Source organism: Homo sapiens, chromosome 6, assembly GCF_000001405.40.
Source record: "Homo sapiens chromosome 6, GRCh38.p14 Primary Assembly".
NCBI classification, from domain to species: Eukaryota; Metazoa; Chordata; class Mammalia; order Primates; family Hominidae; genus Homo; species Homo sapiens.
Genome location: NC_000006.12, coordinates 137150574 through 137177102, shown reverse-complemented (window position 1 = coordinate 137177102; position 26529 = coordinate 137150574). Strand labels below are relative to the sequence as shown.

Here is a 26529-nt window from a genome sequence, read left to right as displayed (position 1 = left end):
TTGAGAGAATTGAATTCAGGTTTCACCTTTCTCCAAAGTGCATGCTTTTCCACTGTTGCCTGATATCTCCAGTTTCCTATATTTCAAAAAGAAACGTTAGATCTTCCGCTTGCCTTTGAACAATATGCGTCACGCTTTATTTAACTTTGACAAACTAGCAGCCACATCCAGAAATAGCTTTAGGTGAAGCTAGAAATACAAAATAAGTTAGTTATGGTGGCTGCTCATATGCTACAGTAAAAAAAAAAAAAAATTTAAGTCACTGTTTTAAAATGTAAAAGGTATTTTTCTTATTCTAAGGCTCATGAAGATTTTTAAATTTTGTTTAGAGCTCAATGTACATCTTGTTGGACTGATACACTCCTAAGCAGTTGTCTGGCTACACTTTATCTTTGTTCTTAAAGAGTAAATTAAATAGTGAATCTAATAGTAAATGCTAATCCACCTCCCAGAAATCAAAGCAAAAAGAGAGAGTATTTCCAAATTGAGCATGGTTACGTAAGTCAAGCATCTTTTTTCTTCTTCTCTGGATATCATGAAAAAGCAACAATGAGAATTAAAATTAAACAGCCCTTCCATTTGGAATTTTTGCTTTTCATTCTTTCCTTAAAAACCCTTGGGTGAGGAAAAGAAATCTAAATTGCAGAATTGCTAAAAAAAAAAAAAAAAAAAAGAAAAGAAAAAAGAAAAAAGAAAACATCACATTTTAGAGCCAATGAGGGAGCTTATACATTTCAGAGAAATTCCTAGTGTAAAAATTTGTATTGGTATAAAATAAAGAATAAAACAAACAGAACAAATATCTGACTCAGGAGTTTTTGTTTTTTGAAAAATCCAACAAATTAAATAAAACAAAAACAAAAGGAAGGAATTTTTAAAGGTAAAGGAGATAAAAATGAGACATGACTTTTTTTAAAGTAGAATACAAAACTACAAAATTTAGTTCCTTGAAAAGAAATTTGAAAATAAATATCCAGCCAATTTACTAAGAAAACAAGGGGAAAATCATTACTCAAAACAGAAAATTATAAAAGGGAAGTCACAGAAAAAGGAGAATTAAATAAATCATAAAGGAATAACTTGCACAACTCTGTACCAATAAATTTAAAGGCATGAATAAAAAGGATAGTCTTCTAAAGAAAATATACTTTGTAGCAACTGAATCTAGATGAGATAAAAAAAAAATCGAAACACACTAATTACCATAGAAGAATTAGAAAATTGTCAGATAATACTATCCTGTATTTTCTGCCCCCAAATTCCAAAAGCACCCAGATGATTTCTCAGGGAAATCTATGTATCCTTAAGAAGCAGATAATTCCTAGGTCACTCAGATTAATTTATCCAACTGACGAGCTGACTGCAACATTGCATGATTTTGCAAAGGTCATTGTTGCCCATGAGTGTCTGAGCTCGTGAGTATCTGACCATAGTAACCTCACAGTCCACAGAATCTCAGCCCCTTCCCCTCAGGACTCCTACTTCAGACCATAAAAAGCAGAAAAGCACCTTCCCGTTCCTTTAGCTTAATTCTTGTAAATTCATGGCAGTTGCTAAAATCACATTCCTTTTTTTTGATTCACTAGACATGTGATAAGGGCTTACTGTGTCCCCAGCCTTGTCCTAAGTGCTAGAGTTAAAGCAGTGAACAAAACACATAACATCCCTGACCTCGTGGAGCTTATATCCTAGTTGGGGAGATAGACAACAAGAATAAAATGAAACATAGCCTGCCAAATGATGATAAATGTTTTGGAAAACAAACAGATAAAGGTGCCAGGGACAGCTGTTGGGGACTGCTATTTTGGGTGTCATAGAATTCACTGATAAGATAATATTTGAGCAGAGACATGAAGGAGGTGAGGGAGTGAGCCTGGACATCTCAGGAAGAGCATTGGAGCAGAGGGAACCTTGCTAATGTAGGGATGTGCCTGATATGTTTGAGAAACAGCAAAAAGACCACCCAGGAGGGAGCACCATGGGTTGGGAGGAGAGCAGTAGGAAATAAATTTAGAGGTAACAGGACCTGGTTATATAGGGCTTAGTAAGGGACTGGAAAAATGTTGACTTTCAATCTGAGTGAGATGGGAAGGCATCACAGGGTTCTGAATAAAATGTTCTATTCTGACATTTAATAGGAACACTCCACCTGATGCAGAGAACAGTGACAGAGGCAGGCAGACCAGTAAGGAGGCTGTGGCCACAGTCCACACAAGAGATGATGATAGCAGGTTACCAAATGGGTACAGTGGAGGAGGTGAAAACCAGTTGGATTCTGGTTATGCCATGAAGATATTTTCAGGATCAAACAATACATACAAACATACTGGTGCATGGGCATAATGATTGATGATATCTGGTAGGGGTTTCAAGGTGACCTTGGGTGAAGAATAATCAAAGCTACATATTGGGTACAATGTACATTACTCGGGTAAGAGATGCAATAATATCTCAGACTTCACCACTGTGCAATCCATCCAGGTAACCAAAAACCACTTGCACTATTGCACAGCTACTGAAATAAAAAAAATACATATTTTTTAAATGTTACCACTCCTTTATGTTTTGGTTTTCAGAAATAAATTTTAAAAAATTTTTTAAAGAATAATCAAAGCAAAATCAATAGCATCTTTTATCCAGAAAAATAAGAGTGAAGAGCAGGAAAGGTTAACCTCATTAAGCCCTATGTCCTATGAGTGGAGATTTTAAATAATATATTAGTGATCACAGTCCAAAAACTCAGATTAGTCATTGTGCTTATCACCTGTGTTTGAATAACAATGTTTCTTTTTCTTTTCTGAATTCAAGTTCACAAACCATTTTGAATTTTTGCATGCCAATTATTTCCAGAATGCCGAACTGCTTAAAGGACATGAATATTACTCGGTGGAGCTATTAATGTCCCAGCAAATAAGAAAGAACAAGTTGTTTCCCTGTTGTTGGCTCTACAGCTCTATAGTTTTCCAGAGAGGGAGAAGGGTGGTGTTCAGATTATCATTCATGATGAAACTTTTAAAAGATGCTCAGCTGCCCACCAAATCATAGGATGAAGGAAAGGGCCTAGCAGAAACACAGTTGCTCTGACTTCCCTTCAATGGACAGCACCAAAGTCATACTGAACACCAGTTTTTAAACACTTCTCTGAAAAACAATAAGAAACACTTAGCCCTTTGCTACCAAGACCTGGTTGAAGAAAATGCTGTTGGTTCCCTGAGGGCTGGCTCTGTAGTCTTGTTCATTTCTGCATCCCCGATGTCTAACACAGTGCCTGGCATATAACAGTTGCTCAATAAACATTTGTTTGACTGAATAAACGATTCGAGAAGCCAATGGACAAATGTTCTTTGACATCATTCTATCCCTTTATGGAATGTCTATTACAAGCAAAGAATAACACAAGAGGAGTTTCATAATACTCCTCAGGCCCTGAGGCTAACCAGATCTGATTTCAGCCCTCACTTTACCACTACTCGCTATAGAGCCCTGGTCAAGTTCTCTCCACCTCTCTATCTATGTCTCAGTTTCTTCATCTGTAACATCAAATGAATAATAATACCAATCTCCTAGACTTCATAAGAGGATTAACAAAGACAAAATATGGGAAAAACATAACATGGCGTCCCATAATTATTAGATCTTATTATTGACACTAAAATGGCATTAAAATTACCAAAAGGAAGACAGCATCTGGTAAGTAAACTTTATTTATTTATTTATTTATTTTTTTGAGATGGACTCTCGCTTTATCGCTGCCCAGACTGGAGCGCAGTGGCGCGATCTCGGCTCACTGCAAACCTCACCTCCTTGACTCAAGCAATTCTCCTGCCTCAGCCCCACTGAGTAGCTGGGATTACAGGCACACACCGTCACGCCTGGCTAATTTTTGTATTTTTAGTACAGACGGGGTTGCACCATGTTGGCCAGGCTGGTCTGGAACTCCACACCTCAAATGATCCACCCACCTCCGCCTTCCAAAGTGCTGAGATTACAGGTGTGAGCCACCGTGTCTGGCCACATCTTGTAGATAAACTTTAAAAATCTTTTTTCTTTGTTATGAACAATTTTAAGTACATACAAAAGTAGAGTATAATAAACCTGACACCCAATTTCAACAGTTATCAGCTCATGGATGGTAACCCCCTTTCCCAGGCCTTTGTATTATTTTGAAGCAAATCCCAGACATGACACCATTTCATCTGTAGTACTATAATAGGTAGCTCTAAAAAAAAATAAAAATAATAACCAAAATTCCACATCACACCTAAAAACAATGAAAAATGATTCCTTAATTAGATAAATGGTTGGTCTGCTGGAAGCCACAAGAAGAAAGGAAGAAGAGAATCAAATCTGTTCAAGACAGGGGCTTAAGCAAGTTCTCTCCAGAGTCAACACGATGATGGAAATACCCGTTGTCACCGTCAAGGTGGACTCTCCCTGCTGCGGAGTGGGGCCGAGGTCGGGGGAGGGCAGGGAATGAAGCCAGCATTTCATGCCTGAAAGGAGGCAGAGCGGAGATCCCCTAGTGACTAAAACTTTCTTACTTCCCAAACAAAACAGCATTTCATTTGAAACAATTCTGTACAAATTCTTCTGCTTCCAGATTGATGGGAAATTAGAATTTAATTTTATCTTTTCATCTACCTTGAGGCCTTGTTGACAGTGTTGGCTTTTATGCAGGTTCTATTACACAACTAGAGCTAATTGAACAGTGACAGAACTGGTCTGGTTTGTGAAATTTAATAGAGCACCAAAGCTCACGTTTTGGGGAGAATTCAGTTCTTAAATATGTTTTGCTTATCCCACTCCGCCTAATTTCCCCTCATTTGTTTGACAAAGTCAGCAACCCAGTGGAAACCTCAATTTCGTTCTCTGCTGCTCTCATCATAAAACCTCGAATTTAAATATTTTCCTTTTATTCTTAGCTGGAACTTGGAGCAATTTGGTGGCTTCAAAATGAGATCTATTGGTATTGAAGCCATTGAACATCAATAGTGCAAACCCACATTATCATCCCCCATTTAAATACCAAAGTAAATGTGAAGTGGTAAACATTAGCAGGGAAGTGAATAACAATGCTGAGAAGGTTGCAAGCTAAGGAGCATGAAGAGGTGAAAAGGGAACATAAAACGTGCTGCATGTTTCTTCTTTCAAAGCAGAAGCTACCTTATAAGCACCAAAAACTTCAGCTGGAGGAGATACAAGCCTGGATTCAGAAGACTGCCGTAGAACAGAGGCACTGGGAAACCTGATGTTATCCACACAAACCTTTCCACATAGGGCTGGCCTCAGAAAGCATGCAGCGCAACTGCCCTCCAATAACTGAAATTTGTTAAATGAAAATTGATAGTGGCCTGGTCCACTGGGATCTGGTTTCTGAGGAAATTTCTGATAAGCTCTCTTCTAAGACCCTTTGCTCAGGAATAAGGTTTTCCCTGCGTGGCCCCAGCTCCACCCAAGGCCTCACAGTCTCAGGCACCCGAGTGTCTAGAAATGTTCACAGGTGCTGGGTCATGGGGTTGGGATGGAGGGTCTACACTTGAGAACAACTCCTCTGCTCCTGTCTGTATGCAGAAGGCCATTCTTCCCTTTCTCTTTGAAGACTCTGCCTCCTCCACATCAGCAGCACCCAACCCTCTCCTTTTAGCACTTTCATTTTACCTGCTTCCCCTCCTACATTCTAGTCTTGGTTAATGGTTGTGATGGAGGGTGGGAGGCAAAGTGGCTTTGCAAGCCGGCTTCTGAAACTTTTCATCTCCCATTTAAGAAGGAGAAGAAAAAGACAGAGAAGGTTAGATGAATAGAAGTTGTAACCCTGCTGTAGCTCCTTATTCTCTACTTTTCCCTTGAGAAGCAAGCTTAAGGAAGGCAGGGGCAATGTCTCTCTTATCTGCTGCTGCATCCTTGCTGCTGAGACTAATTCCTAGTTTATGGTAGGACAGCAAATATTTGTGAAATGTTATTGGATAGCTGCATGGATGGATACTGCTTAGCAGCCATCATTATTCCTTACTAAAGGAGCTATTCTACCAAGAACTTGAAAGAGACTATACAAGAGAAAATAGAAACCAGTATACATTTCCCCTTTTGATCTAAAGAGCCTCTCTTTTTAACAACAACAAAAAAACCTTTATGACTTGCGGAGGCTGAAGCAACTTCATTTTTAGATGCTAATCTGCCATGTTGACTTCTGATTAATCCTTTTTCAGGAAGGCTTCTAAGATTTCTAGTTTATCGATTGTTCCTTGTATGAGAACACATACTTGTCATAAGTCCTGCCTGTACGTCAAAACCACCTTGATGTTATGATACTTCAATTGTCATATACATCCCTTCTGAATCACGCAGGCCCTTTCCCGGTGGTATGTAAGCCCTGGGTCTGTTGCGGGATGATCAAAGACTGAAGAGACCGAAAGTTCAGGAAAGTTTATTAAATTAAGGTGATCACCGGCTCAGCTAGTCTGAGCCCCAAACAAAGGGCTTTTCCTACTTTTAAATATCTTAAGGTGGGAACTACGTGAGGCGGGAATCGAGTTACAGAAGCAAGAAACAAAGGCAGTATTACAACGTTTGTTACATTTTGAGAAAGACATGTCTTGCAGCCTAAACTTATCAGTCTTGTGACCCTGCAGTCATGCAGGAACTCACTGGGCCTGTAATAAACTTTGAGGAATGTGGAGTTGGGGAGTATAGATAAGGTCCACTGTCCACAGAGAGAAGACAGGCTGTTAATATTCCCTTTTAACGTGAATGTAAGGCAGGGGTCACATTTTGCAGGAACTTTAAAAGGATTTTAAAATTTGTATTACTACTACTCTTAGGTTATAGTTGATTTCATTAATTCCTTCTTCATTTCCCCCTTTTGGTGCTCGACACAAATGTAGATTAATAAAGAGCACCACAGTTAGCTATTTCTTCTTGAGTGGGTACATACTCATCTTGGGATACCAGTTGGTACTTTTGCAGAGCCTTTATTCGGATGGTGGTATGTCTGTCTACCATTGAGTCTATGGTGGATTGGATGCTTCCGATTAGAAATGGCAAGAGACAGGGAAGCAGTAGGCATCCACCTTTTATGGCCACAAAGCCTAGTATTACAGTTTTAAAGCCTCCAAACCATGAAAACCGTCCTCCAAAGAGTGAACTCGGGTTCCAACCAGACCATGTCTGAACCAGAACATGAGCTAACTTCCGCATCCTGGCAGTGATTTCCATGACAGCTTTTCCATTGTCATCAATTTGTAAGCAGCAATTTGTTAAATTAAGTTTTCCACAAACCCCCTTCTGAAGCTAAAACATAATTCAGTACTAACCTGTTCTGATAAATGGCATCTCTCATCTGGGTTGCCTGTATGGCTAGCAAGTCTAAGGCTCAGGCTGTTTCATTGACTATAATTTCCAGAACTGCTTGCAACCTTATGATGTGGTTTAACATATAAATAGGAGTACAGTATCCCCATGACCCATCTTGTGCCCAGGGGGCCATTCATTATCTTTCCAGCCCCCTATTTCAATGTCCTTTTTAATGTTAGTATTTATTTTTTCCTCAGTACTTATTTTTGTAAACACATTTCTTTTGACTCTTTTTCTGCCTTCATCATAGACCAGATAGCTTAGATCTTCCCCTTGCTGCAGGGGGAGTAGCAAAAAGAATGGCCTTATTGTTCCTAATATACATGCCCCTGTCCATTTATCGGTTAGTAATTGATAAGCCTTTGTTCCACAGATCCTATATAATCCTGCAGGTGCTCTCCAAACAGTTGGAGCTTCTAATTGGTACCATGATTGATTTAGTGTTGGGAACTGCAAAAAGGGATTAAAGTGACACAGAGGAATCATCTATAAAGCTTCTCCATTGTGTTCTGTTCTCAGATTCTTCAAAATATTGTTGACCTAGGCAAGTTGTTTCCCCTATCTGGTTCTGAAAGGACTTGCCCCAACAGGCAATACAGTATTTTCCAATGATGGGGTTCCTTAATAGCCAAACACTTGGATTTGCATTGAATTTTGTAACAAATTCAGGCAAGGTAAAATTGTCTTGCAGCATCAATTCTCTGGCTTCCCAGGGCCATTGATCTCTCATATTAGCACCTCCACATACATAACAGGAAGTAACTCCTAAATTGTTAGCAATACTTTTGGCTAGCTGGACAAACAGATTTTCAGTTGATATAGGAGGAATTTGAATTTTTGATACTTCAGAATTAAAGTGTTCATTGAAAGATTTATAAAACCTGAACTGTTGTATTGGGCTAAGTTGAACTTGAGTCCTTTGGGTTTTCTTTGTGATGACCAGAGGAATACCAAGTCCTAGGAGAGCTCCTGCCTGATCAAAGGTTAGTAATCCTTTATGCCCTTTAGTCCAGAAAGTCATATTTGGCTTTAGTATTGTCAGATTGAGTGGGTAGCATGTTCCAGTTGTGTACCCTATCTTCTCCTCTTGGCTGGCAAACAGAGCAGCCCTTCCAGTGTATAGGTGCTGATTAAATTCATGTGTGGTCCACTGATTATCACAATCAGGGCACTCTTTTTCGGACTCTCCTATTATGGCCTTGGTGGCTCTGCTGCTGACTCTTTCTTGTCCTAGATTTTTACAGATGGTCCAAATATTATTTAGTTTACTGAGATGTGCAGCTTGGCAGGCATCAAAATATATGGAGACGGGCCCTTTATGCGCGTAAGTGAATACTTGCGTTTTGTTTACAAGTTTACTGACCCCAGTTTCTGTGGGGTTTGTATATGATGGCATTAGGGGTTCACCAAATTTGGACTTCAAATAAGAAGTCATAGGGCAAGAACTCTGGGTCATAACATATTTGGGGCTGCCCGTTTCCAGGATCACAGACTGAGTAATTAGTCTGGTTATAAACAACAAGTTCCTGTATGAGTCCCTGTACACTCATAGTAGGTCTGGTATAACAGAGTTTTAGTCACACCTTTTCCAGACCAGGCTTCTATCATACAGTGATGACAGTCATCCTGGTCCCCTTTTATAACCATAGGTGAAAGTGTCAGTGGCTTCAGTATTACTAATATGATTAAACTTATACTATGCATGGGCACCTTTCTGGGCAACAAGCTTGGCAGCATTTGCAAAGATAACATGACAGCAAAATAATTACTACAAGTAAGAGTATAACTATGTTTGTAAATTTAGTCTACATTTACTTATGTATCATTGACTTCCTCAGGCTTCAGCCATGCATAGACTAGTCAGCTTCCATTTGTGTGACTAGAACAGGGCTCGATGTTTCCTCAAGCTTCAGCCGTGCGTGGACCAACCAGCCTCTGGTGTGGTTGAAGCAGGGCAGTTGTCCTTGTCAGCAGTGGCTTGGTTTCACCACAGGATCAGCCATGTTGAGTGGTCTGGGTTTTGTTGACTTGTCCACTGGTCCTGGGTGGTGGCTGCTTCTGGTTTCAGCCGGCTATGATGAACCCAAGGTATGATACCTGCAACTTTAACAGCAGTGGGAGTAGACAAGATCACAATATGGGGACTATCCCATAAAGGCCCTAAAGTGGTTGGGTTCCATTGTTTGACCCAGACAGAGTCTCCAGGTTAGAAGGGTTGTACTGCATCTGTGAGGCTAACAGGTATTCTTTCTCTTACCCATCCTTGCATTTCCTGCGAGACCTCACCTAAGGCTTGCATTTGCCTTCTTAAGGTTAATTCCCCAATTTTTTAAATCCCCGTTTATCTGAGTTATGATCAGGGTGTCGGCCAAACACTATCTTATAGGGTGAATACCCAGTTAATTTAGTAGGGGTGCACCTGACTCAGAGAAGGACCATGGGCAGCACCTGATCCCATCTTAGATGAGTTTCATGGCAAAACTTTTTTAACGGCTGTTTGAGTGTCCGGTTTATTCTTTCAACTTTCCAGAACTCTATGGGTGATAAGCTGTATGCAGTTTTCATTTGATTTTTAACCTCTGTGTTAGCTGTTGTACTATTTCTGCCACAAATGCTGGGCCATTGTCTGATCCTAAAGTTAGAGGCAGTCGAAATCTAGGAATAATGTCCTTTAGTAAGATTCTGGTTACTTCCCGAGCTTTCTTTGTCCTGGTGGGAAATGCCTCAACCCACCCTGAGAAAGTGCAGACAAACACTAGCATGCACCGGTAGCCTCCGGTTCGAGGCAGCTCAGTAAAGCCCACATGCAGGTTTTCACAGGGTGTAGCTCCAGTTTCTTGAATCCCTGGGGGCCATGTTGGCCCCTGCTGTGGATTGTTTGGGGCACAAGTTAAACATTACTCATAAATGGCTCGAGTGATGGCAGTTAGGCTCAGCAATAGAAATGCCATCCTACAAGAGTCTCTAATGCAGTTTTTCCCATATGTGTTCCTTGATGAAACTGTTTTATGAACCAGGGGCTATTGCTTCTGGGATAGCTGGCGAGCCTCCCATTTGAGAACTTCCACCAACTTCCTTTCTGGTAACTTCCACTTTCCTGCTCAAACCAAGCCTTTTCATTAGAGGAGTAGTTAGGGGGTTCTGTAAGAGGAAGCTCCAATAAGGGCATGGTAAGGGTTTCCTCTTCCTTCTTAGTTATCGCTGTCATTGCAGCTCTTTTGGCTTCTCTTTCTGCCTTTCTGTTTTCTCTGGCCTTGTCATGTCCTCCTGTTTGATGCCCTTTGCAATGGATGACTGCTACTTCTTTTGGAGCCCATACAGCTTCTAAGAGCTGCTCTATTTCCTTTTTATTTTTGATTTCCTTTCCTTCAGTAGTTAACAATCCTCTTTCCTTATATATGGCTCCATGGGCATGCAAAGTGGCAAAGGCATACCTTGAGTCAGTATAGATGTTTACCGACTTTCTTTGGCCAAAAGCAACACCCTAGTGACAGCTATTATCTCAGCTCTTTGGGCTAAAGTTCCGGCCGGCAGAGGGCAGGTTTCAGCTGCTGAATTCAGTGTTACCACTGCATATCCAGCCCAACTGATAAACCTTTAGATATGAAGCTGCTTCCATCAGCAAAGTATTTAACATGTGGGTCTTTTAAGGGCTAGTCCTTTAAGTCTTTTCAGCTTGAGAAAACTTCATCCACAGTTTCCACACAACAGTGATACCCTGGGCCACACAATGGGGGCTTTCCATGCTCCGCCCATTCTATCAGCAGCAGTGTGGCCGGATTTAGAGTATTCATAGTCTCCAAGGTTAGGTAGGGGATTTCACACAAAAGCCCTTGATATCTTAACATTCTAGGGTTAGAAAGCCAGCAATGTCCCCTCTGCTCCATCAGAGTGACAACCGTGTGGGGCACCCAAATTATTACCATTCCTCTGTTGTTGGGACAGTAAGGGTCTTTATCATGGCTTTTCTTTGACCTAGATTTAGAGTCATGTGCCCTTCTGGTATAAAGGAGATTTGTGCTTGCAATTTCTGGAGGAAATCTCTTCCTAACAAGGGCACCGGAAAATTTGGCATTCATTCTTCTAGTGTCCCATCTGCTTGCATCTCACACATTGATCTCCCTTAAGCCTAAGTTGGCCCTCTTGTCCTGGCTTAGCTTCCTGGTTTTACCTAGTTTGTCCTCTATCATGACCGCAACCACGACCACATCCTCTCACAAAACCAGTTTCTCTTCCAACTAAGGCCACCGCCAGCAAGTCTGCCTTTTCCTTAGCTCTGCATCTAGCTTTTCTCTTGGCCTCCTCCTTCTGATTTACAAACACCTTAGTAGCCACCTGGATAAGCTGGGTAATATTCACACCTTCAAACCCTTCTAACTTCCGATGTCTTCTTGCACCTGGCTTACAAATGCCACATTAACCATACACTGATTACCCGCAGCCTCTGGGTCAAGTGGCATGTAAAGCTGGTAAGCCTCGCACAGCCTCTCATAAAATTCACCGGGACTTTTATCTGGCTTCTGGCGAACCTCTGAGACCTTTCCGATATTGGTGGCCTTTTTCTCTCCAGCGTTTATTCCATTTAGGAGTGCCTCTCAATACTGCTGCAAACTTGTAGCCCTTGAGCCTGGTTAGGGTCCCAGCCTGGGTCAGCCTCTATCAGGAGTGCTTGTTGTGTATACTGCCTGATATCTCCTGTGCTTGAAGATGCATTTTTCTCCAGCCACTGGAGAGCAGCTTGTATAACTCTACGGTGCTCTTCCATATTAAATAATGACAGAAAAAAATGTTTACAATCAACCCAGGTAGGATTGTGAGTTAGGAAAATGGACTGCATTAGATCTATAAGAGCCTGAGGCTTCTCTCTATAGGAGGGAGTATGTTGTCTCCAATTTAAGAGATCAGTAGTAGAGAAGGGCTGATAAAAGAAGAGCTGTTCTCCCCCTTGGACTTCATTCTGTGCATTCAAATAAATTTGTCCCCATGTTTCTCAGAGTGGCATCTGCATTGCTTGGGCACGGACCGACCTAAGGCGGCCGACCTCATCACCCTGGAGTTCCTCCCTTGGCTTTTCAGTCAAGGGCTCTGGCTCCTCTCTGCGTGGTGTTGCCTGAGGGGTGCTTCCTTCTGAGTCTGAGTCTCCGGAGGCAGCCGGGGCAGCCTTCTGTCTAAGCTTTGCCAGAGGTGGATAAATTGGTGCATAGTGGGGTGGAATTTCTAACTCTTCAGGCGGGGCCTGTAGGACAGGTTTTTACTGCTTTTCCTGTGACTTTTCTTTTTCTGATGCCTTGCAGTTTCTTTCTATTGTTCCTGGTTTTGTCTTGGCCGTTAGAGTCTTACAGTAGATCTCAAAGTAGGCCTGCAGCCACTTAGGGAGGGTCTGAATTATACTTAGCCAGGAGTCAATATACGGAAACTGATCCAGGTGCCCGGGCTGTTCTCCAAGCCTGGTGACCACCCGAAACACTCGGCCAATTATCTCCCTGTCTATTGTCCCCTTGGCTGGCCACCCTACATTAAAAGATGGCTATTTTATCTCAAAAAAGTTCTCAGTTTCTGTGAAGTTAGCTTAACCCCATAGTCACCATTAAAACTTTTTTTAAAGTTTTTCAGCACGCACTCCAGTGGAATAGGCTTTGACGCTTTTCCTCCTGTTTCCTCCCTTGTGATGCACTTTCACTCTCACTTTCACTCTTGGATCCACCAGACTGGGTCCTATTACAGGAGGTTCGGACACTGCTTAGCCAGGAGCATGCCTTAATTCCTGTCACAGCTAGCTGCAGCTGTGGAGCTGGTCCTCTGGGCCGTATGCAGTGTCCTAGGTCTGGTTTTTCCCACACTCGCCTGGGAGCACACAGTCCACGCTAAGAGATCTGTGCCTCCCCACATCAACCCCGCCTTGGTCTCTCCCGAGACCATCTCTTTTACACACTTTCACACACCTCCCCCATCCCCAAAATGGTTTTCCTTTCTGACCGACTCATGAGCCCCACTTACGTCTGGTGTCAATTAGGGTGTGAGTTTCATCTGAATCAATGGGCCTCTCCCATTGTCCCAACCCCCTCGGGTCAGACTAGTTGTCATGCCCTTGGAGGTGACCAGGCTCCCCTTCCATCCTTATGGGACGGGTCTTGCCTTAGGGCCCAAACCTTACTGCAGTTCATATGTCTATGCACTGTTCTTGTGACTGTCCTGCAACCCTTTCCACTGGTTCCATTTGCACTGTTGGAGGAAGGCTCCAGAACGTGGAAGGGCTGTTCTCCTTCTGGGCTAAAACTCTCCCGGTGGCACCAAGGACCCCAGATTTCCCATGTCCTGGGGCTCTAACCCACAGGCAAAGGAGACGAAAATCTGCCATCTCCAATCCCAGACTGGTCCCCGGAAATGTTGTGGGACAACCAAAGATTGGAGAGACCGAAAAAGGTTCAGGAGAGTTTACTAAATTAAGGTGATCAGTAGCACATATGTCCAGAAAGTCTGAGCCCTGAGCAAAGGGCTTTTCCTACGTTTAAACATCTTAAGGTGGGAACTACATGAGGCAGGAAGCGAGATACAGAAGCAAGAAACAAAGGCAGCATTACAACATTTGTTATATTTTGAGAAAGACATGTCTTGCAACCTAAACTTATCAGTCTTGTGACCCTGCAGTCATGCAGGAACTCACTGGGCCTGTAATAAACTCTGAGGAATGTGGATTTGGGAAGTATAGATAAGGTCCACTGTCCACAGAGAGAAGACAGGCTGTTAATATTCCCTTTTAACTTGAGTGTAAGGTGGGGGGTCACACTTTGCAGCAACTTTAAGAGGATTTTAAAATTTCTATTACTACTACTACTATTAGGTTATAGTTGATTTCCTTAATTCCTTCTTCAGGTCTACAGGGTAATGGCATGAGGGTCCACCATCTTGTCTTGCCACTGTCCAGGACACACACATGGCTCTGTTCATAAGTCCCTACGAAATGTTTCTTTCTGAGAAACTGGATATGTCAGCCTTTTTCTTTGACCTCTCAGCTTCCTTGGACTTTAAGGGTAGGTTTGCACAGACCTGTTCACTATGGAACATGACTTTTTTGTTCTTTCATGTATAATTTTAGTATCTCTAAACACGTGTAGTAAAAAAAAATGGTAAGAAGAATGATATAATGAATCATAGACAGAGAACAGATGACCTGCTTCAATCAGATTTCAAAGACAATGTGAAAAAGATCTAATGTAGCTCAAAAGGAGTGTCTTCCCCATTCATCTTTTTAAGGAATCATGTGGTTTGACAGGCTCAAAATCTTTCTCCAGCTCACTGGAAACTGGGTGTGAAAATGGAAGAGGAAGAGGCATTAGCTAAATGGAGCCCAGGACCACTATGGAGTGGGAAAGGCTGAAGAGTACGGCAGGGAGCCCCGTGGAGAGCCAGATGCAGTGGAAGGGTATGGGGCATAGCAGGGAGATTAATTGGGGACCTACCAAAAAGAGAGGAAAAGAGTGAATCAACGATAGACCCCTCTTGCTTTGAACCACTGCCAGGGGCCCCGATAGCTGCAAATGCCAAGCACATTACTCAAAATCACCCTGGCAGCCAAGTCCTAGTCCTTGGCAGCCTCTCCGCCTCCTGGGGCCAGATTCCCTTAAGGCCCCACTAGTTGTTTCATTCACTCACCTGCTTGCCACTTGCACAATCCCTGCACTGCCCTGCCCTTCAGATCTGCCCATCCTCAGTGTTTTACCTTTCTGCAGCTAATGAAGCCCCAACAAAAAACGAGCTTCCCAATAAAACGAGCTTCCACATAAAAGTGACAGCAAATGTTTTTTGAAGTGATTTTTATACTTTCATATTTTTCCTAAAATAAAATAATATAATGTAGTATCAAAATAAAATTGTAGTTGCTTCAAGGAACCATCTGCCTTAAACCCGGGAGTGATTGTCTGTTTGTGGATTTTACAGTTTCCTCTTTGGTCCTGAGCTGGTTAAAAGGAACACTGGTTGCCTGAACAGTCACACTTGCAACCATGATGCCTAAACATTGCTTTCTAGGCTTCCTCATCAGTTTCTTCCTTACTGGTGTAGCAGGTAAGTGCTTTGTTTCTTTTTAATTGCTCATAGCTTTGTCATCTGAGTCCAATCAAGGATCTGTTGGAAATGGCACTGGTGCTTTTTTGAACTTTATAAAGGCTGCAGCTTTTGATGTCACTAAATGATCAGAGCAGGCATGGGGTTAGTGTCTATCTGCAGCTTGAATGACCCCACATGTACTTAATGAGTTCCCACTAAAGAAAAGGCTCTCTAGAGGGTGCAGAGACTTCATACAGAACAAATGTACATCCATTTCTCTCTCTCTCTCTCCTTCCCTCCCTCCCTCTTTCTTTCTCTCCCTCTCTCTTTCTCTCTGGCTCTCACTCACCTTAGAATGTCTTTTACCTTGAAGGAACACTAAATCATGGTGGTTACCAGCACAGGCTCCTAAGCCAAGCTATCATGGTCTGGATTTCAGATCTGCCATTTACCATCTAGGAAAACTTGGGAAATTTACTTAACACCCTCAATTTCCTCATTAGTAGAATGGGGATTCTAGGTCACTGTGAAGATTAAATCAATTAATATATGCCAAATGCTTAGAGAAGTGCCTGGCACAGGATAGGGACCACAAACAACAGGTGAGAATTTGCTTCTGGTATTCGTGGAGGAAACTGCAGGAGTGTAGAGCATCTTATCAGCACCACATACTTCTGAGCAAGCCTGTAAGAATGCAAGTTAACAAATGGGTACCTCTCAGTGTAAGTGATTTAAGTAACTTGCCAAGATGGTGCAGTTGTCCAGTGACTAATACATAAAAGCAATTCAAGCCTTCATCTTCCAGAAGTGTTTGGATTTGAGAAGACTCTGGTACTTGGTAACAGCAAGGGCACATTTAGCAAAATACGGCAGGAATTCAAATGCTACCAAAATGTTCCTGGCTCTGCATCTTACCAAACCTGTAACCTCGAGTAAGAGATGCAACTTTCTAAAGCCTCAGCTTCCTCATCTGTAGAATGCGATAATAAAAATATTTACCTTACTTGGTGGCTGTGGGAATTAAGTAAGTTGTAAAGCTTTGAACATAGTGCCTAACATAAGTTAATGTTCATATATGTTCAATGTTTGATGAATGCCGGCCAGAAGGAGGAGGAGGAGGGAAGAAGGAAGAAGATAAAGTATAGCCTCAGCTTCTAATTGGTCTGCCTCTTTCATTAGCTCCTCTCTCCCATGGCTTTGCTCTTGGTTTTCTGTTGGAGGGTAATGGCAGGCTCTGCACTCAGACTGTCTGGGTACAAAATCAGCTTCACCATTGGCTGCCTGGCAATCTCCTTCAGGTGTCCAAGGCTTCGTTTTTTCAGTCTGTAAGAGGAAGACCATAATGCACAGTACCTTCCTCACAGAAGAGCTGGGCAAATTAAATGAGTGAATGCAGATAAAAGTCCCTCAGTGCCTGGTGCAGTGTTATTACTGTTGGTGGTGGTAGCACTGATGTTACAAAAATGAGAGAAGAAATCCATAGACAGAGAGATTAAGGGCATTAAGCCATCTATCTTCATGTTAGCAAATCAATTCTAGGCAGGCCTTCAGGAAATTGTGCCTGTCATCTCCTGAAAACTTCTGGAATGTTTATGTTCTAAAGATGACTGATCAGGCAGTGATTTTTGTGAGCAAAATCAACTGTGGCTGTAGACTCTTTCCAAGAACACAACACCATTTGATGCACTGATGGTGGTCCAAACAATAAAAGTGAAAACAAATTAAAAAACAAATAACAGTATTCACACTATTTGGTTGGTAAGAAGAAAGGCCTGAGGAAACAGTCTTGTTCATTTGAAAATAACAAGTCTTGAAAGTTCAGAGCTGAGACCATGGGCTTGGAAGTGTTTTTTTAACCATCTCAATAACGTGATACATTTGAGCAAAGACTTGAAGGAGGTGGAGAAATGAGCCATGTGAAATCCAGGGGAAGAGCAGACCAGGAAAAGGGAAGGGCCAGTGCAGAGGCCCTAAGGCAGAGTCACTGGAGTCATGGTGGAGCAAGTGAAGGAGTCAACACTGCAAACACAGGGGTCGGGGTGACAGAAGATGAGGTCAGGGAGAAAACAGAAGATATGCTTCCTGGCCGGGTGCAGTGGCTCACGCCTGTAATCCCAGCACTTTGGGAGGCCGAGGTGGGCGGATCACTTGAGGTCAGGAGTTCGAGACCAGCCTGCCCAACATGGCAAAACCCCATCTCTACTAAAAATACAAAAAAATTAGCCAGGCATGGTGGCGGGCACCTGTAATCCCAGCTACTCAGGAGGCTGAGGCAGGAGAATCGCTTGAATCCGGGAGGCAGAGGTTGCAGTGAGCTGAGATCACGCCACTGCACTCCAGCCAGGGCGACAAGAGTGAAACTCCATCCAAAAAAAAAAGATATGCTTCTTGACTCCTCCTTCTGCCCAACTTCTTATCCCTTATAAAAAACCTTGAACCCTAAGTAAAATTTTGCCAAAATTCTCTTGCCTCCATGCAACTAAAGGCAAGCAAGGTTGTACCACCTATGTTGCCTGATTTGAGGAAGAAAGCACAAGTCATGCCAGTGCAAAATTATCCCATGCCATGCCATGATTAGTCTCAGAAACACTACCCCCCAGCAGGGTCTTGGGCAGTTTTCCTCATTAGCATGACCATTTCATCTGAGGGATTATGCTTGGATACTTGGAGCCAGGATGCAGGCAGGTAAATACAGCCATTCAGGAGTGGGACAGCAAAGGCAGACCTACCTGGAAGCAGGACCCAGAGATTGAGCAAGAACCTGCGAAAGGAGGGACTGAGTGCTGGGCTGAGGTCCTGGAGCCCAGAAGTGGTCACTAGCAAATTTTGCTTGAGTAGTACCAATATAGTGATTCCTAAGAAGATGGTTGGTGGTCTTAGTGTGGGTCTTTCATCTCAGTCATTATATTCCATCACTATTTGGGAACAAAATAAGAGCAATATTTTTTTTAATGCAATTTACTTCCCCCACAGCCTGGGAAATAGGGTGGGAAGGTATCACGTACATGTTTATGATCTGGAACTCATTATTCTGAGACTTTAGCGTGCATCAAAATCATTGCATTGAAGATTCAAAATGTTGATTTCTGGGCTCCACCTCTACTATCTGCACTTAGAGCAACTACTTTAGGGAATCCTGATGCAGGTATTCCACTGAAAACTACTGCTGGGAACAGCAGTGCTCCAAGCAACGTTCAATGTTCTTCCTTCTCTTATTATCTTAGGAACTCAGTCAACGCATGAGTCTCTGAAGCCTCAGAGGGTACAATTTCAGTCCCGAAATTTTCACAACATTTTGCAATGGCAGCCTGGGAGGGCACTTACTGGCAACAGCAGTGTCTATTTTGTGCAGTACAAAATGTAAGTAAATTGAGCCTCCTTCAGCTGATAGAGATGGCACTGGGATAACATGTTCTAGAATGCAATGGAGTGTTAGGATCCGAGCTTTTTTTCAGTTTCAGAGGGGTTGAGAAGAAGCCAAGGTCAGGATAACAGTGACTTGTCTCCCCTGAAGGCTGCCTGGGGACTCAAAATGCATGATGGTATGCAGTGCACTGGGCAGATACTTCAGCCCTAGACCTGCACCAAGACCTCACAGGCTCAGCCTTTGCCTCCATGGAGGAGCCTGGCACATGGTGGGTTCTCAATATAGATTTGTCAGGCGAATGTTGGAAGCAACTTATTAGCACATAGCGAGTACTCAGTGAGTGAAACTATCGGTAGTTGAAAAAGAAGTTGTGGCAAACATGGTGGTGAGTGTGTAAAATAAGGTTTTAATTTAAAAGTCACTTTCAGAGTGGATTTACTATTTAGAAAATTCCTTTCAAAAACTAATGACTCTCGTAAGCATGAACACAAACTGGAACACGCTGCTGCATGTTCCTCTCGTGTGATCCTCAGGCTACTCCTGCTGGATCATTGCCAAAACTCAGATATAATCTACTCCTTTCCTGGCTCAAGGCTTGGAAACAAACACTCTTGACTTGAAAATGTCAGGTTTTTCCACTCATATATTTCTGGGGGGGTGAGGGGGGTTGAGGCTCAATCCTGTCTCCTGACAGTGAGACAGGAGATATTACAGTTTAGCTTTCATGGTTTTTCAATAGAAATTCAGGAAATCAAATGCAGCTATGGCCAAAGTAGCAATTTTTATCCCATAAATTCATCCATGTCTCTCCAGCATGGGGTAGGTCCTAGGTCAGATTTTCCTGCTAATTAATTTCGGAAGGAATATCCCCAGAAGCATCTCCATCTTTAACCGCTACGACTTCTCTCTACATATTTTATGTAGCGATTGTAAAATGTACAAATCTTTACAATGAAGGTTTCTCCATTACAAAAGTAGATTTGTGCATTGCTGGAGATACTTTCAGCATGCAGAAAGTAAAGATTGGTACTCTTTTTATGCTTCCCCTGGAGTAGTATAAATAGGTCAAAAGTGGACCTATTTGTGGTCCAAAGTACTAAGAAGATTAGAAACTGTTTTACCATGAATCTAATGAAGATTAAACTTCAGGACCCCAATGCAAGGATTTTATATTTATAAATCTTTTCCTAAAGAGGACTCCCAAGCTGCTATGGTTTGAGTTTGTCTCCACCAAAATTCATGTTGAAATTTGATCCTTAGTGTGGTGGTGTTGGAAGTAGGGCCTCGTAGGAGGTGTTTGGGTCATGGGGATGGAGCACTCATGAATGGCTTGGTACCATTATTGCTGCAGTTGAGTGAGTTCTCACTCTTGCAAGACTGAATTTGTCATGGAAATGTTTCTATGAGAGTGGTTGTTGTAAAGCCAGGATGCCCCTTGAGTTTGGCCTCTTCACACGATCTGTTTTCCCCATTGACCTTCTCTAGCATGTTCTCATGCAGCATGAAAAGCTCTCACCAGAAGCCAAGTGGATGCTGGCAGCACATTTCTTGTAACTTCCCAGGCTGCAGAACATTGGCTAAGTACACCTCTTTTCCTTATCAATTACCTAGCCTCAGGTGTTCTGTTATAGAAACATTAAATGGACCAAGATTGTATAAATTTCAGACCCCAGAATACCTGAATCCATTCCTGTCTCTAAGGGATTTTCAACAGCACAAGACAAATTTATAATTTTGAAAACTTTCACTTTGGTGTATCCAGTTCATGGGCTATAATACTGTTATATCCCTTGCGTTTAGAATAGGATAAACAATGAGATATTATTTTAAAAGAGAAGTCTGTCATTACAGCTAAGTTCAAGACTTATTATAAATAAATAATAATTTTAAAACATCAAATTATACTCAATATATGTTGTGGTTCTGCTTTAATTGTGATGGAATGAAACTGCTGTCACCATGTAGATTACCGAGTATAGATACCGTCTATCTTCCTTATTATGTGTCTAGAAAGCTAGATTTCAAGTCTTTCAATAAATATTTTGGGAAACCTTTCTCCCCAGACTCCAATTCCTTCTCTTTTCCCCACCATCACTTTGTTACATTGGTCTGATTTATGGCAGGTAAGGAAACAAAGCGTGAATCTTCCCTTTGACTATTACACCATCCTGTGGCCTCAGGCTGAGTCAACCACTCTGCCTCTTGCCTCACTACCTTTTTTCATGGGATTCCCTCCCCCTCTCCCAACCCCTAATTACAGGGCTCCATATATAGTCCTCAATAAAAGTTCCCGTCAATTTTCAATAAAGAGATTAATCATGTATGTTGGGTAGGCAACACCTGAGATGAAAAGTGGTAGCAACTTCTCAGAAGCAGCCACATTACTCAACAGCAAGCTGATGAGAAGTGGAGAAAAACCACAAACAGCCAAAACCACAGAGCATTAAGGATGTGGAGAGTGAGTATTCAAAAATGGAAGTCAGTCCACACACCAGAAAGAACATTTTGCCAAGTATTAAAAAAAAGGTTAAAACCCTTATGTTAGTGATACAGAAAGCGTCAGGGATGTTTATCTTCCAGCAAGACAGCACTTTAGGTAATGCTGTGGTTTCTATGTGTCCCCCAAAAGTTCATGTGTTGGAAACCTGATCCCCAGTGCAGCAATGTTGAGAGGTGGGACTTTGGGGAGATGATTGGGTCATGAGGATTCTGCCCCCATGAATGGATTCATCCATTGATGGATTAACGAATTAATGTGTTATTGAGGAAGTGGGCTAGTTATCAAAAAAGTTGGTCTGTTTTATATATATTTTATATTTTATATATATATGTATATATATGTATATGCCATCTCTCTTGAATCCCTGTGAAGTCCTCTGTCACCTTAAGTCTCTGCAGAGAGTCCCCACCAGCAAGAAGGCCCTCACCAGATGTGGCTCTTATGGCTCTTAGACATTAGACTTCCTAGCCTCCAAAACTGTAAGAAATAAATTCCTTTTCTTTATAAATTACCCAGTCTCGGGTATTCAGTTATAGCAACAGAAAATGGACTGAAACAGTTAATAAGAAGGAATTTTTTTAAAGATTCTGAAGAGGAGCCATAAGCTATCATGGTGGTATTGCTACTAGAATCAGGTATAAAAAATTATTAGTCTGAAAATACTGAAGACTCCTTGAGTGGAGAAAAGAAACTCAGATCTTTGCCTTTTCCCTGCTACAGATATGGACAGAGACAATGGAAAAATAAAGAAGACTGTTGGGGTACTCAAGAACTCTCTTGTGACCTTACCAGTGAAACCTCAGACATACAGGAACCTTATTACGGGAGGGTGAGGGCGGCCTCGGCTGGGAGCTACTCAGAATGGAGCATGACGCCGCGGTTCACTCCCTGGTGGGAAAGTGAGTTCCATGGAGTTTCTTTGCCCTTGTTCTTCCTGCTTTTGGACAGCCCTCCCGGAGCACGGCTAGTGACTAGGCCTTGTGCTTTGCTGAGGTCTCTACATCATTATCTCTTTTGGTCTAATTGTCAGAACAACTCTAGGAGATAGCTTTTATTATCCTAATTTTCTAGTCCAGAACATCAAGATGTAGAGGCTTTAGTCATTGCTCCAATCTCGCAATCTGTATTATCCAAGTCAGGGTTCAAATTTGCTATATCTGACTGCAGAGCCTCCACTCCATCAATTTGTCACCTTGTGTGTGTGTGTGTGTGTGTGTGTTTGTGTGTGACAGGGTCTCGCTTTGTCACCCAGGCTGGAGTGCAGTGGCACGATCTTGGCTCACTGCAACCTCTGCATCCCGGGTTCAAGCGATTCTCCGGCCTCTGCCTCCCGAGTAGCTAGGATTACAAGTGTGTGCCACCACCCTTGGCTAATTTTTGTATTTTTAGTAGAGACGGGGTTTCATCATATTGGCCAGGCTGGTTTCAAACTCCTGACCTCAGGTGATCTGCCCCCTTTGGCCTCCCAAAGTGCTGGGATTATGGGTGTGAGCCACCATGCCCAGCCCCTAAAAAAGTATTTTTAGACAGCAGAATTTGTCATAGTGCCTAGTCCTTCCCCAAACACGAGGGTTAAGTTCATGAAAATACTGATTACAGGAATTTTCTGTTGAGGAAATTAAGACTTTTAGTCACCTCCCCAAAAAGGCAGACCAAAAGTGCTTTCTCAGTATCCATCCTGAAGGATATTTATTCCTTTTTTAGTTTAGTCACAACCATAGAATAATATAATCTAAGACATAGGTGTTAAAATTAACCATTACCAACAGACATTGGATAAAATAGTAGAGAGAGAGAGAGAAGGGGTTTAATGTATAGATATAAAGATGTGCATAAATAGAACAAGAAAAAAAAAAGATATTTACCACAGTCCTCATAATTGCAACAAGTCAACTAGTCATGAAGCTGTAGTTAATATTTATGACTTCTTCCTTCATTATAAACTCAACATTCACTTTCTTTCCAGCCAGCACTTCAGCTCTTTATCCACGAGGAGTTTGAGTCCTTTTGGTGTTTCCTGTCTCCGCTTGACCTAACCTTACATTAATTTTTATCACTGAATAGAGAAGCTCTAAGAGGCACACCAGAGGATACCAAGAATTCTTCCACCTGACCCCATTGTATTTATAACTATATTATGCCTTGAAAATCAGAATGAATCACCCTAGACAATATAAGAACCTCATTTTCTTTTTGTTAGTTAAATGGCATGAGGCGCTCCAAATGGTCAGGAGAGAGCCTCGACTTCCAATTTTTGGAAACCATTTTTGTTATAAACCAGAAGAATTCAAGGCCAAGCATATGGGAAACAAAAACATGTCATAAGTTGTTCACTATGGGTAACAGTCAGAGTTGCCCCTCCCACTTCTACTTCTTGTATCCTAGACCAGTGAATTCTGTCTGTGGAAGAAATAGCACCATATATTGGCCCTAGGCTTAGTGAAGCATTTACCAATTGGAGCATTTACCAATTCATATGCCAATTCACAAGACGTCTCTCAAACTGAGTTTTCAATTATCCATTTCACCTTCCTATAAAGTCATGGATTTCTGAGCGACAAATATATGATATATATTTGTCCTATGGGTCTTGAGACCTTGCTTCACTCCTTTCACATTAACTTAAGTTCTTTGTCATAAGCAATGTATTGTGGAGTACTATGCTCATGAACAAGGCATTGACTACATCTATGGGTGTATGTGTGGTCCCAGGAGTGGTTAGGGGTCTGCTAATAAAAGCATTGAAGCAGTAAATAAAAATCTATAAACAAAATCTGTAACCAGAATCTATATCCAGCAGTAAAGAAAATCTATAACCAATGTCTCTTGCCCCCTCCCTTTTGGAAGGGAACAAAAATAAACCTACCTGCAACGAGATGGAAGATGAGAGCCCCTGGAATATGGCACTATACTAGGGGTTCAACATTGATCTTCCTTACTGGAAAGTTGGACACTCTGCAGGTCAGACCAACTTTGGTAAGAGGAGATCCATATTGTTAAGTCTATATATAGCCTCCATCATGCAACTATTTTGTTCAAGAGCCCATAGAGCAACTACAGGACACTGGGGAAATAGATGGTCACTGCATCCACTTAGATTTTTTTAAACAGCCTTATTGAGATATAATTCACACAGCCTATACTTTAAGCATATAGCATACAGTTTAATGGTTTTTACTATATTCACAAATATGTACAACCATCACTCACAGTCAATTTTAGAACATTTTTATCACCTCAAAAAGCAACTCCATACCCTTTGGCTATCACCTTCCAGTCTCACCATTCCCTTAGCCCTCAGCCCCGGCAACTACTAATCTTTCTGTCTCTATAGAGTTCCCTGTTCTAGATAGACTAATATAATACATGATTTTTTTGACTGGCTTCTTTCACTTAACGTGTTTTCAAAGTTCATTCAGATTGTAGTATGTATCAGTACTTCATTCTTTTTTGTGACCAAATAATACATTATATGGATATACCACATATTATTTATCCTTTCTTCAGTTGATAGACATTTGGGTAGTTTCCACTTTTTGGCTATTATGAATAATGCTACTATAAACAGTCATGTAAAAATTTTTGAGTGTGAGTTTTTTTGTTTTTTTTTCTTGTTTGTTTTTTTGAGAGACAGGATCCTGCTCTGTCACCTGGGCTGGAGCGCAGTGGCACAAACATAGCTCACTTCAGTCTTGAACCCCTGGGCTCCAGCAATCCTTCCACCTCAGCCTCCCAAGTACCAAGGACTATCAGGCATACGCCACCACACATAGCTGGGCATACCTTTATATTTCTCTTCAATATATACATAGGAGTGGAATTGCTGGGTCTCATAGTAACTCTATATTTAATCATTTGAGGAAATGCCAGACTACTTTCAAAGCATCTGCACTATTTTACATTCCCATCAGCAATATATGAGAGTTTTGATTTTTCCACATTTTTACCAATCTTTTTTGACTATAGCCATCCTAATAGGTATAAAATGGTAACTCATGTGGTTTTTATTTGCATTTACCTGCTAATTAATGATGTTGAGCTTCTGTTTTATGCTTATTGGCTATTTTGTACCTTCCTTGGAGAATTGTCCATTGAGATCCTTTGCCCATTTAAAAAATTTAATCAAATCTTTTTATTTTTGAGTTGTAAGGGTTCTTTATATATTCTGCATACCAATGCCTTATCAGATATATGATCCTCAGCTAGCTCCTCCCATTCTGTGAGTTGTCTTTTTACTTTCTTGATGGTATCACTTGACACCAAGTTTTAAACTTGGATGAAATCCAATTTATTTCTTCTTTTGTTGCTTGTGCTTTTGGTGTCATATCTAAGAATCCTTTGCCAAATCCAAAATCATGAAGATTTACCCTATGTTTTCTCCTAAGAGTTTTATAGTTTTATCTCTCACAGTTAAGTCTGATTCATTTTGAGTTAATTTTTGTATGTGGTGTGAGGTAAGGGTCCAATATTATTCTTTGACATATGACTATCCAGCTGTCCCAGCACCATTTGTTGAAAATTATCCCATTGAGAGTTCTTGGCACACTTGTTGAAAATCAATAGACCATAGACGTGTAGTTTATTTCCAGACTCTCAATTCTATTCTATTGAGCTATACATTCATCATTGTGCCCATACCACACTATTTTGATTATTGTTGCTTTGTAGTAAGCTTTGAAATTGGGAAGGGTGAGCCCTCCTCTTTATTCATCTTTTTCAAGATTGTTTTGACTATTATGGGTTCCTTGCAATTCTCTAACCACCCAGATTTTTTAAGACCACTTTTCAGTATGAGCCTTTTGCTTTGCATTCATATGGCCACAGAAATATTCACATTCTGTATCTTAGTACTTAGGGATCCATCCATACACCTCTTCTAACTGGTGCAAGGTCCAGTGAGATCCAAATTAATTAGATACTGTCCAAAATGCTAGATGCATTTTCCCCCAACTCTCTAATTAGCAGGAGGGTGGAATAGAGTTGAGCAAACTAATTCATGGTAACTCTTGGTTGTCTCTTGGATACATTGAAATTCAAAGCCAATATACTCAACAAGCAATTCTCTAGTAGAGGAAAAGGAGATTTCATGACTAAACTGATGAACACCAGTGAAGGGAATTCACAGATCAGTGTGATTATTATATTCAAGCCTAGAAATAGGGTCACATTCAAATTTACTTATCAAACAAAGTTTCCTTCAGTCTAAGCCATTAGGCCAGTCAGGTAAGAATAGCCAAAGACATTGACTGACACAGCTTTAGCTCAA

The 26529-nt window shown here is 41.5% G+C and overlaps 1 protein-coding gene across 3 annotated transcripts in view, besides 3 other annotated features; it reads left to right on the top strand.

Moving 5' to 3' along the window:
- Window positions 1-3458: 3458 nt before the first annotated feature.
- The window catches only part of IL22RA2 (interleukin 22 receptor subunit alpha 2), a 29825-nt gene continuing 6754 nt past the window's right edge, over window positions 3459-26529 (top strand). For 2 of the 3 annotated variants that reach the window (NM_181310.2, NM_181309.2), the window contains exons 1-4: window positions 3459-3690; window positions 15289-15414; window positions 18621-18756; window positions 21984-22162. In NM_181310.2, coding sequence (NP_851827.1) covers window positions 15354-15414; window positions 18621-18756; window positions 21984-22162 — 376 coding nt within the window. In that variant the 5' untranslated portion in view covers window positions 3459-3690; window positions 15289-15353. Of the gene's footprint in view, window positions 3691-15288; window positions 15415-18620; window positions 18757-20248; window positions 20345-21983; window positions 22163-26529 lie in introns of all 3 variants that reach the window. The other variant, NM_052962.3, reaches the window with a different exon arrangement.
- Window positions 4485-4704: an enhancer, noted in NCBI's record as "active region_25134". NCBI's record gives its function as "activates an Ori minimal core promoter by ATAC-STARR-seq in GM12878 lymphoblastoid cells {active_cell/tissue: GM12878}" and the evidence as "EXISTENCE:reporter gene assay evidence [ECO:0000049][PMID:35858748]".
- Window positions 4485-5359: a biological region, named in NCBI's record as "OCT4-NANOG hESC enhancer GRCh37_chr6:137492881-137493639".
- Window positions 4601-5359: an enhancer, noted in NCBI's record as "OCT4-NANOG hESC enhancer chr6:137492881-137493639 (GRCh37/hg19 assembly coordinates)". NCBI's record gives its function as "activates a minimal SCP1, AML or CMV promoter by ChIP-STARR-seq in naive H9 embryonic stem cells {active_cell/tissue: H9 hESC(naive)}" and the evidence as "EXISTENCE:reporter gene assay evidence [ECO:0000049][PMID:30033119]".